A 12587-nucleotide genomic window follows, 5' to 3' on the forward strand; every position below is an offset into this window, starting at 1 on the left:
AAATGACAACTTTTTTCATCTCTAGGTTCTTTTCTGAAAATGATGAAATAAGTATTAAGGAATTTTGAAAAGTAAAAGCACCAGACAAAAGGCATCCCCATTTTTCTTTAAGACAGGTGGGGATTAGCTTGGTTTCTCAGATGTTAAAAAAAAAAAAAAAAAAAAAAAAAAAGTGAAAAAGACAGGTGGGGAAAACATTCCCAAGATAGTTTTAAAAAATTCATGATAGCAAAATCCCTGTGTTAAATTGTGGGAAATACCTGATAAAGTCTGCTCAGCCCATCCCAACTCCCGCTCTCTGTCATTTCACCTCTGCCAGCTGCATTTATGTATAACCCTGACTGTGGGCCACAACTGAGTTAGCTCAAGCATGGACAACTGGACCAATGGGGGTCTCTATCTCGGGATTCAGAGAGAGCTAATCAGTGTCTTCCAGAGGCCAGAGCGAAGGGTTTGTGTTCGGGATTTGTGGAGCTGCCACATGCACAGGCAAGCACAGCACCCTGGTTCTCAGGGAGGAGGAAAGCCTGCATGCTCAGGTGGAAATGAGTGACCACAGGCACCAGACAGAGAAAGAGGACAGAGCCTGGGCCCCTGTCAGTGCCCCCACTCCCAGACTGGGCTCGGCCTCATTCCTGCCTTTTTTTGCTACAGCCAGGTCATGTGGATTTCTGTTTTTTTTTTCTTTTTTGTTTTTTTTCTGTTTTGTTTTTTTTTTTTTTTTGAGATAGAGTCTCACTCTCGCCCAGCCTAGAGTGCAGTGACGCGATCTCGGCTCACTGCAACCTCTGCCTCCCGGGTTCGAGTGATTCTCGTGCCTCAGCCTCCTGAGTAGCTGGGACTACAGGAGAGCACCACCATGCCCAGCTCATTTTTGTATTTTTAGTAGAGATGGGGTTTCACCATGCTGCCCAGCCTGGTCTCAAACTCCTTACCTCAGGTGATCCACCCACCTCAGCCTCCCAAAGTGCTGAGATTATAGGCATGAGCTACCGCACCCCAGTCTGGATTTCTGTTTCTTTGCAGCCAAAAAAAAAAAAAAAAAAAGACTGACAAGTGCAAAGCAGCAAGCTCCATAGCCCTCTGAGGAACCACGACCCCCAGGGTCGCCATACCTGCCTCTGTTGTTTCTCCTGAAACAAGCCTCCATCCACGGCTCCAAGTCACCCTGGATTTTATCCCAGCCTAAGCCTGGCTCACCTGTGCCCCACACCACCTCCCTGCCCCTCAGCTGAACCTGCCCTTACTCTCGGGCTCTGTTTTACAGTTGCCACCTGGACAACTGACCAGACAACAATTCTAACTCAGGGTTAGTGCCCACTGTCATTCAACTGCCCAAGCTTCTCGTGTTAACCATTGTTTTCCATCTTCCCCCAGTAATACCCATTTTAAAATGGAGCAAACCCTGAACGCAATGCAATGCCTACTACCGACTGGAAGGCTGAAAGCCTGGTAGCAGATTTAGCCTCTCTCTCTACCTAAATCCACCAAACAGCAGGGAAACGGCACCTCCAGAAAACTCATGAAGTCAACAGAAATCCTCCGTTCTGCCTTTAATCTGAAGGTCCCTGGGTTCCTCTTACCCCCTCTCTCAGACTCTCTCTCTCCCTGCAGGGTCCTTGGCTGTACCTGGGATATAAATGGTGCCACCATTGCACCAATGCGACACAGGGAGCCGCTGGTTCCCATCCCCAAAGCGCGCATCGTGGTGGGGTAGACCTGCAGGGAGAGGCACGGAAAGTACCAGTCAGATAATGTCCGTCCTTCCCCGAGCCCTCCTCTTCCCCTTCCTCCCCAGGTCAGGTTTTGGAATGCATAGAGCACCAAACACAGTTACAGAATATGGAATAGAAGGTGTTGATTTTCTCAGGTACACAACTTTGAATTTTTGGGACAATATCAGCGAAAAATAAACACTTCAAAATTATCCTTTAAATGAGCAAATTCCAAAAATGTGCTTCACTGAAGATTCCAAATATAATTTTAGAAAGACAAGCTCTGGAATCAGAGAGAAGAGTGCCACTTCAGAACTATAAATATATAAAAGTGATTCTACTGAACGGGAAGAAAATACTCCCCAGAGATCTGATGAAGTCTTCAATACAAATACAGCTAAGAGAACTAACTAGAGGGCCAGGTACTTGCCACACCATTCCCTGTGTTCTTATTTTTACTTCTTTTCTAAAATTAGGGATGGGATCTTACTATGTTGGCCATGCTGGTCTTGAACATCTGGCCTCAAGCAATCCACCCACCTCAACCTCCCAAAGTGCTGGGATTAGAGGCATGAGCCACCATACCTGGCCCCTGTGTTCTTGTTAAATTCCCTAGCCTCTTTGCTGTTGCAGAATCTTAACAGCATATTCTATCTATCTATCTATCTATGTATCTATCTATGTATCTATGTATCTATGTATCTATCTATCTATGTATCTATCTATCTATCTATCTATCTATCTATCTATCTATCTATCTATCTATCTATCTATGTATCTATCTATGTATCTATCTATGTATCTATCTATCTATGTATCTATCTATCTATGTATCTATCTATGTATCTATCTATCTATGTATCTATCTATCTATGTATCTATCTATGTATCTATCTATCTATCTATGTATCTATCTATCTATGTATCTATCTATCTATGTATCTATCTATCTATCTATGTATCTATCTATCTATCTATCTATCTATCTATGTATCTATCTATCTATGTATCTATCTATGTATCTATCTGTCTATGTATCTATCTGTCTATGTATCTATCTATCTATCTATGTATCTATCTATCTATCTATGTATCTATCTATGTATCTATCTATCTATCTATGTATCTATCTATCTATGTATCTATCTATCTATCTATCTATCTATCTATCTATCTATCTATCGACAGAGTCTCACTCTTTCGCCCAGGCTGGAGCACAATGGTGCAATTTTGGCTCACTGCATCATCCACCTTCTGGGTTCAACCGATTCACCTGCCTCAGCCTCCCAAGTAGCTGGGATTACAGGCATGCACCACCGTGCCTGGCTAATTTTTGTATTTTTAGTGGAGGCAGCGGCGGGCGGGGGGTCTCTCCAAGTTGGCCGGGTTGGTCTCGAACTCCTGACCTCAGGTGATCTGCCTGCCTCAGCCTCCCAAAGTGTGGGGATTACAGGCGTGAGCCACCATGCCCAGCCCTTTTTAACATTTTATTAAATTTTTATTTTTATTTTACAGAAACAAGACCTCGCTATGTTGCCCAGACTGGTATCAAACTCCTGGGCTCAGGTGATCTTCCTGCCTCAGCCTCCCAAAGTGCTGGGATTACAGGTATGAGCCACCATGCCCAGCCATATTCTACTTTCTTGCTGCAACTTTTTGATATTTATAGTAAAATCTAATTAATTGGTTTTTCATTGATTCAGAATTCTTAAAGGAACTAGAAGTTTAATAAGTCAGCAAGTCTTCCTGAATAAATAGAATTGTAGGGAGAATACTTTCTAGGAAAGAATGGTTTCTCAAAATGTTGGAACATTTTCTTAGTGCTATAAAATACTGGCAAAACAGTTTTATCAACTCTCTAAGGCAAAGCATATAGCCCCCTTTAGTTGCCCACATCTTTGCCACCATCTGTCAAATGCAAAAAGCAAGATGCTTTCCGCCTCACAGGACACTGCTATATTTACAGGAGAAGGTCTGGGGGTGGAATATCTTTATGGGGAACTTTATTATTTTCTGAAAAATGAGGTTGCTCTGACTGAAAATAATGAATTCAGATGATGGCTTCTTTGCTATAATACTGATAAAGTCTTTTTTCACATTGTGAGTCATCTGGAAGATGGAATAACAGAAAACTATCATTTTTAGTTACACACCTCTTTTAAAAAACAATATAAAAAATAAAATACTGGCTGGGCACGGTGGCTCACGCCTGTAATCCGAGCACTTTGGGAGGCCGAGGCGGGCGGATCATGAGGTCAGAAGATTGAGACCATCCTGGCTAACAAGGTAAAACCCCATCTTTACTAAAAATACAAAAAATTAGCCGGGCGTGGTGGCGGGCACCTGTAGTCCCAGCTACTCAGGAGGCTGAGGCAGGAGAATGGCGTGAACCCGGGAGGTGGAGCTTGCAGTGAGCCGAGATCGCGCCACTGCACTCCAGCCTGGGCGACAGAACAAGACTCTGTCTCAAAACAAAAAAAATAAAATCAAATAAAATACTTAGAAATGACCCTCAAAATGAGCAAATTCCACAATATGTTTGACTGTACATCCCAAATGCAGTTCTAGAAGTACACCATGTTACGCATAGATTTTTTTGGTTTATAAATTTACAAAATAACTTTAGATTTGTTTTTGTTTTTAATTATGCAAAATTATTTTCTTAACTATGCAAAATTATTTAAAGTCAATAATTTTTTTTTTCTTTTTGAGACGGAGTCTCTCTGTCACCGGGCTGCAGTGCAGTGGCTCGGTTTCGACTCACCGCAACCTTTGCCCCCCAGGTTCACACGATTCTCCTGCCTCAGCCTCCCAAGTAGCTGGGATTACAGGCACCTGCCACCACGCCTGGATAATTTTTGCATTTTTAATAGAGACGGGGTTTCACCATGTTGGCCAGGCTGGTCTCAAACTCCTGACCTCAAGGGATCCACCTGCCGCGGCCTCCCAAAGTGCTAGGATTACAGGCGTGAGCCACTGCACCCAGCCGATTAATTTTTATTCCAGGAATTTCATGTTGTAATTCCTTCCACTGTCCATCAAGTTCACCTTAGTTCCCCTACAGAGCTGGAGTAAAATTTATTGTCAAAAAATCTTCAAGTTAGCCCTTTTTAATAGAACTGATGCTTAATCCAGTTGTCCTGTCAGCCCATAATTCTTTTATTTTGGCTTCTTTCATCTCCTTTTAATATGGATATACTGATGAAGTCTTCAAAATTCACCAGAAATCTTTGGGATCTAATTTCTTAAACCAATTTACTTTAGGGTCATTTTTGGAGTAGGTGGATCTGCCTTGTTCTCCATTTGATGCCATCTGTAAATATGCTTGAGTTCAAATCATATTCATTCCTAAGCTATCACAGCTCAAGAACAGTACAGACCTGTGGAATATGTCAATACATTTAACCCCAGACATCATGTTCTGAAGATAAAAGCCTTTAAAACAAAAAGTCATCTTGATATATCAAGTCAACACGAAATTGGAATACAAAATTGAGATAGCTGAGATTTTCCTCATATATTATGCTTTTAAATTCTCTATTCTATAGCCCTAGAACCAAACTTTTTTTTTTTTTTTTAATTTAGAGACATGGTCTTACTTTGCTGCCCAGGCTGGAGTGCAGTGGTGCCATCAGAACTCACTGCAGCCTCCAACTCCTGCACTCAAGCAATCCTCCTGCCTCAGCCTCCCCTTCCTAAGTAGCTACAATTACAGGTACATGCCCCCATCCCTGGCTAATTTTTAATTTTTGTGGAGATGGCATTTTGGTTTCCTTGCCAGGCTGGTCTTGAACTCCTGGCTTCAGGTGATTCTCCCACCTCAGCCTCCCAAATTCAAGGATTGCAGGCATGAGCCACTGCGCCCAGCCTGGAACCAACGTTTATGGTTATCAATACTCCAATCATTTTAAAGTGTCTCAGGCATCATAATACCCCTTCTTATTTGTAGCAAAACTTATACTGAACAATGAGTTCTGGATTGCAAAAGAGGATTGATTTTTTTGTACCTGCCTATAAATCAACTTTAGATTTTGTTAATGGAACTAAATGAAGTATTATGTATAATTCAAACATCTCATAGCTTTCTATTTTTATCTCTGTGTGGGAGAAAAAGTACTTTTCTCTGCGGGTTTAATGGTTTTTGACATGCCAAATCTTTAATCGCAATAGACTTCCCCACTTCCTGCCATGAACCTGAAAGGCAGCTTTATCAGTATCTAAAGTACTGTTTCCTGTAGCTCAACGAATGACAAAACCAGTTAAAATACTGTTAAGTTCCCTATTCAAATATTGTTTCATTTCTAGGAATATTAGTTGTTTAAAGTGGGAGGTTTATGAGGAAATACTCCAGCTACCTCAGGCAGTACCTTGCATATAGATGTATTAATTCAATAAATTAATAAAGAATAAATCAAGATTATATTTAAATTTAAGCTACATGCAGCAAATAACAGATGGAAGGAAAGGGATCTTCCAAAAGAGTAAAAGTGAAAAGTGTATTCTAATTTCAAAAAGAGAGAAAGGAAATTCTACATTTGAATGCAACATGTTGCTACCTATTACTTCTGGAAGCCTAGTGCTAGGGCAAGGAGGTGTTTTTTACATGCATGCTATTTAAAGAAAGGAAAAAGATCCTATCTTCCAGAGATTGGCTTTCAATAGACTGAGTGGGGAAGGGGAAATTCATATCAAATAAACTTCTGGTGTCTTTTTAACAGATTGTTTTTAGAAAATCATCAAAAGTCAACAGAAGCCAGGCATGCATTACCTTTGGATGGACATCCTAAGTAGCTCACCTTACACACCCTTTGTAAGCAAGCCTTGCATGAAAACTCACCTCAGCTGTGTAAATGTAGACGGTGTTGAAGTTTGCAGCTACCAGAGCCCTCAGCATGAAGAGGAAGCCAATCAGGCCGGCACTAGAAAACAGGAAGCGGAGAGAAATTATAAAAGGCAGCATGGAGGACCACCTCCAGTGGCCCAGCTTCGAGTGCACTGTGGATGCTGAGATACAATCACAGATAACTCAGAACCCGAGGGAGGTGCTGCTTCTCAGCTGGCCTGATTGTGGGGTCCTTAAGCAAACCTCCTTCCAATCTTACTCCCACTGCCTTCTCCATTCCCCAACGCTGCCATTCACCCTGGCCCCTCACATTAGCATAACTGCTGGGCACAGTGGCTCACACCTGTAATCCCTGCAGTTTGGGAGGCCGAGGCAGCTAGATCGCTTGAGGCCAGGAGTTCAAGACTAGCCTCAGCAACATAGTAAGACTTTTTTTAAGACAGAGTCTGGCTCTGTTACCCAGCCTTGGGTGCAGTGGCACAATCATGGCTCACTGCAGCCTCAGCCTCTCAGGCTCAAGTGATCCTCCCACCTCAGCCTCTTGGGTAGCTGGGACTATAGACATCCACAACCACACTCAGCTAATTTTTGTATTTGTTGTAGAGATGGGGTTTTGCCATGTTGTCCAAGCTGATCTTGAACTCCTGGGCTCAAATGATCCACCTGCCTCAGCCTCCCAAAGTTCTGGGATTACTGGTGTGAGTCACCAAATTTTTTTTCAATTGGCCCAGCATGGTGGTGTGTGCCTGTAGTCCTAGCTATTCAAGAGGCTGAGGCAGGAGGATGGCTTGAGCCCAGGAGTTAGAGGCTGCAGTGAGCTGAGATCGCACCACTGCATTCCCGCCTGGGTGACAAGGTGAGAGAACCTGTCTCAAAGAAAAAAAAAAAAATTAGCACACCTGCTGCTACCATCCCCTGGAAAATAGTGCAGAGAGCTTGTAGAACAAATGATACATATCAGAGCTCAGGCCACTCCAGGACTGCAATTTAGGAGTGAAATGAGCAGAAGGCACAAATAAGCACACTGTCTGTATTACTAAACTTTCTTGGCACTGGTTCAAATAATGTAATAAACAACCAGAGTCCCGATTCTCCAGGAAGCATTACATAATGATCCTCAATATTTTGGTAGGTAAAGTGAGTACACCATCATTGGCACCCATAATCCTGTGATAGCTGGAGGAAGATGGGGTCTGTAGGAAGAGGGAAGCGGGGATAGTAGGGAACAGGCAAGACCATTCTAGTCAAGCAAGCAGCCCATTCTCTACTCTCCTGGGTGAAAGTGACTTGTCCCTGAAACTACTGAACACCATGGGTCAGGAGACTCCATTTAGAAACCACTGCACAAAATCTGAAGCAATTAAACAGAAAATACCTTGAAGTGCAAATGTTGAGGAGAAGGAAGAATAAAGCCGTGCATCCCATGGTAATAGAAAGGCTCAGCCGTCTTCCCAGGAAATTGATGCCCAGTATATTTAAAGGATTCACTAGAAAGCAAACAGTAAAGATAATTTCTGGAACCTTGGAAGGCAAGTGGCATATTGCAACACTGGCATGGATTCATCCTTGTCGTTTCAGAAAGAAGCAACTTCATCCAAACCTCACGAGTATTCCAGCCAAAATCCAGTCACGTTGTCATCAATTTCAAGACTTTTTACATATACTTTACCCACGTGGGTCCAGGAATGATAAGCACTGGTGCCCAGAATACTTATTATATCATACAGGTCTATTGTAGATTGCCAGTTGCTAGGCCTGTATTTTAAGTGTTTTATATGTTTTCATCAAATTCAAGGTGCCATTGATTTTTTTTCATCAGCTCAGTTTAACATTCAGCCATTGATTTTTAAGTACCATCATTTTATGTCTACTAAAATAGAAATAATGCTGTCAATTGCTATCTAACAAGCCATTGTAAGCCACATGCCAATTTCAGAGATGTTAAAATGTAAGGGTGAAAAAAACACCTTACAATTGATAGAATACAGCACTTCAAAGGTCTACTCCTCCAGACCTCTCTTGCCAACACCAATCCAAACTGGAGATTTTTCAGCACTACTTGGCAACTTATTCAGTTCTGCTAGGCAGGAGCGGTGTCACAGGGTCACACTTCTCTCAGCTAAGACTCAAGTGCACATAGACCACCCAAGACAGAGAGACCCAACACGCAGAGGGACACTTACAAGCAATTTCACCGATGGTGCTGATGATCATGGTCCGATAGTCAGAGGGTGCAAACATGTGGCAGTAGCAGGGGCTCTGGCTCTCCCCTGAGTCCCCCCCAGTCACCACCACCGCAGAGTCTGACTTTGAACCACAGACCAAGTCCCGCTCCAGCAGCTCAGCACTGGCCAGGATAACCCCATAGTAGGCAAAAGAGATTCCAAGCCTGGAAGAGAGAAAACAAAGTCACTAGCCAACGCTGACACCAGACCTGAAGGATGAGTGGGGAGGGGATACCAAGTGGAACGTGTAGCATGTGGAAAGCAAAGAGAGCAGAAAGCCAGGCTCAGACGCCACACAGAGCATTCGTGGAAGTGTCTCTTACACATCATACAGATGTACACATGCCTGTCGGGTGTAAACCTAGGAGCAGAATTGCCGGGCCATAGTATACACATATTTCCAGCTGTGATAGATACCTCCAGTTTTTCAAAGTGGCTGTACTAATTTGAACTCCAGTCAGCTGTGTATGAAAGTTCCAGTTACTTTGCCTCCTTCTCAACCCTTGGTATTGTCAGTCTTTCATTTTAGCCATTCTCATGGACTGGCGGATTTGTAATGGTATCTTGTTGGGTTTTAATTTGCATTTCTCTGGTGACTTTAAGGTTGAGCATGTTTTGATGTGTTTATCTGGTATATGTTTTTGGTGAGGCGCCTGTTCAAGTCTCTTGCCTATTTCTAAATTGGGCTGTTGGCCGAACATGGTGGCTCATGCCTGTCATCCCAGCACTTTGGGAGGCTAAGGCAGGAAGATTGCTTGAGGCCAGGAGTTTGAGACCAGCCTGGGCAACAAAGCAAAACCCATCTCTACAAGTGCAAAATAAAATAAATAAATTTTAAAACTTCAAAAATTTTTAAAAACTTAAAAAACTGGGTTATTTTTTCCTGTTGAAAAAATGATATGTCTAATATATAAGCATGTTTTATATATGTGTGTGTGTGTGTGTGTGTGTGTGTATATATGTATATATAATTTGCTGGAAATATACATGGCAAATTTCTCCTCCCCATGGATGGCTTACCTTTCAGGCTCTTCATGATTTTTTTTTTTTTGAGACAGTTTCATGCTGTCACCCAGGCTTGAGTGCAGTGGTGCAATCTCGGCTCACTGCAACCTCCACCTCCTGGGTTCAAGAGATTCTCCTGCCTCAGCCTCCCAAGTAGCTGGGATTACAGGCACCCACCACCATGCCCAGCTAATTTTTTTGTATTTTTAGTGGAAACAGGGTTTCACCATGTTGGCCAGGCTGGTCTCGAACTCCTGACCTCAGGTGATCCGCCTGTCTCGGCCTCCCAAAGTGCTCAAAGTGCTGGGATTATAGGCGTGAGCCACCGTACCCGGCCTTCTTCATGATACCTTGACACAGTTCCTAAGTTCCTAATTTAATGTATTAAAACTCATCAATCTTTTCCTTTATAGTTAGCATGTTTTAGTCCTGTTTAGAAAATCTTTGCTTACTCAAGGTCATGCTGCAGAGAAATGAATCACAGAGGGTACCACAAGAGTCTGTGCCACTGGACTCGATGATTGGTGACTTCAAAGGACCAGTTTCTGTCATGTGGTGAGAAAAAGACCAGGCTGCAAAAGTTAGGAAGTGAACTCATATGCTCACAAGAAAAATTTAAGAACTGGTTGAAGACAATTAGGGAATTTTCCTCTGTCTATGTATCCATTTACTTATTTATTTAGTAGTGGTGGTGTTTGTAGAAAGACAAAACATTGCTTGTCTTTGTAGTATTTGGAGTTAGTCTTATGTTTTTCTCCCCAGTGGCACTCACATAGATTTACTTAAATAGGCTTCCTCCCAATGCCTCTATTTAAAACTAGCTTTGAAATCATTACACTCTTACCATATGACCCAGATCTGTAATGTGGTCCGTAAATATTTAGCATCCAATAGGTCTGCAAATCTTCCTCTTTTTTCCTGGGGTAATGAAAAGGAGACAGAACATACTCAGCAGCTTAAGGATGAACGGAGATGTTTCCACTGTTTTCGATCATAGAAGATGAGAATCATATTGGAGCATGGTGGCCTGCGATAACCACTCAGCTCCTATGAGTACAGCTGACACAAACCCAGAGATAATTGTTTTAAACACATCTGTCTCAGCCAGATCTGTCTTTTGGCTTTTTCTCATCATTGACAGGTACCAAAGCTCACTGAACTTAAGATCCTAACCTTTTGCTCTTCCTCTGCCCACCAGCACTGGCGCGGGGGTGGGGATGGTAGGAGGAAACATGAAAAGTGACTGTGAAACTGATGAGAGATTCTTCTAAAATTAACATTAAAACAAAAACTCTTATATTAAAAAAGAGTATGAGACTTGTTAAGAAAACAACGGCATAAAGTTGAAAAAGGAGAGAACGCCTAATTTCTTTTTCTGTCTCTAAGGGGGGTAGTTAGCAAAAGTTCTTGTCCATAGTACCTATTGAATAACTTTGGATAAAAACAAGTAAGAATGGGCTGGGTGTGGGGGCTCACGCCTGTAATCCCAGCACTTTGGGAGGCCGAGGTGGGCGGATCACCTGAGGTCAGGAGCTTGAGACCAGCCTGACCAACATGGCGAAAGCCCGTCTCTACCAAAAATACAAAAATTAGCCGGACATGGTGGAGCATGCCTGTAATCCCAGCTACTCAGGAGGCTGAGGCAGGAGAATCACTTGAACCCAGGAGATGGAGGTTGCAGTGAGCCGAGATCACACCATTGCACTGCAGCCTGGGCAACGAGAGTGAAACTCCATCTCAAAAAAAGAAAAAAAAAAAAAAAAAAGCAAGGAAGAGTTACATGATGGCACAGAAATGGATTTTTATGTAAAGCTGGGAATGCTTCAGATGAGGGCACGCCATTGAAAACCAACAGCTCTTTTCTCAGAAATAGACCTGGGATTACAGGCTGTTTCTAGAGACACTGGGAATGTGGTCCTGGGTGTCCTAGATTTTGTTGTCACAGAAAGCTAGAGTTTGAAGGGAACTTAGAGGTCTTTTGCTCCAATGGTTAATTTTTAATTTTTGTGGGGCACGTAGTAGGTATGTCTATTTATGGGGGTACATGAGCTGTTTTGATAAACCTCATGAAATAAGCACATCATGGAAAATGGGGTATCCATCCCCTCAACCATCTATCCTTCAAGTTACGAACAATCCAATTACACACCTTAAGTTATTCTAAAATGTATGAGTAAGTTATTAACTATAGCCACTGTTTTGCTATCAAATAGTAAGTCTTATTCTATTTTTTCTGGTACACATTAACCATCCCCACCTCCCCCCATCCTTCCACTATTCTTCCCAATCTGACCAAGACCCACGGCACATTCCCACATCTGGTCTCACTGCACATCTCCTGGGGCCTGCAGTGTCCTCTCCCCTCCCCAAAGCTTTTTTTTTGGGAAGGAGTCTCGCTCTGTCACCCACACTAGAGTGCAATGGCGTGATCTTGGCTCACTGCAACCCCTGCCTCCCAGGTTCAAGCAATCCTTGTGCTTCGGCTTCCCGAGTAGCTGGGAGTACAGGTGTACATCAAATCGTCCAGCTAATTTTTGTAATTTTAGTAGAGACGGGGTTTTACCATGTTGCCCAGGCTGGTCTCAAACTCCTGACTTCAAGTGATCCACCCGCCTTGGCCTCCCAAAGTGCTTAGATTACAGGCATGTGCCACCATGCCCGGCAGGCTCACTCTCCTTTTAGTGTTCAATTTATGTCCCATTTATCCCCCTGAAGTGGCTCAGACTGCCATGGCTCAGTCCCTTCTGCTCTGATATCACACACACACACACACACACACATACACACACCCCTACACCC

The 12587-nt window shown here is 42.9% G+C and overlaps 1 protein-coding gene and 1 non-coding gene across 11 annotated transcripts in view; both read right to left on the reverse strand.

The window, feature by feature from the left end:
* SVOPL (SVOP like) overlaps positions 1–12587 on the reverse strand; it is a 107078-nt gene that overhangs the window by 25132 nt on the left and 69359 nt on the right. For 8 of the 10 annotated variants that reach the window (NM_001139456.2, XM_011515797.3, XM_024446655.2 and 5 more), the window contains 5 exons: positions 10633–10706; positions 8742–8947; positions 7934–8045; positions 6553–6634; positions 1630–1719 (listed from right to left, as the gene is read on the reverse strand). In NM_001139456.2, the coding sequence (NP_001132928.1) occupies positions 1630–1719; positions 6553–6634; positions 7934–8045; positions 8742–8947; positions 10633–10706 (564 nt within the window). The remainder of the gene's footprint in view (positions 1–1629; positions 1720–6552; positions 6635–7933; positions 8046–8741; positions 8948–10632; positions 10707–12587) is intronic. The other 2 variants (XM_047419888.1, XM_047419887.1) reach the window with 1 other exon arrangement.
* On the reverse strand, positions 5644–5772 carry LOC124900246 (small nucleolar RNA SNORA40). The gene has a single exon (XR_007060661.1). It is a non-coding gene; the product is annotated as a small nucleolar RNA SNORA40 (small nucleolar RNA).

The sequence above is a fragment of the Homo sapiens genome, chromosome 7, assembly GCF_000001405.40.
Source record: "Homo sapiens chromosome 7, GRCh38.p14 Primary Assembly".
Lineage (NCBI taxonomy): Eukaryota > Metazoa > Chordata > Mammalia > Primates > Hominidae > Homo > Homo sapiens.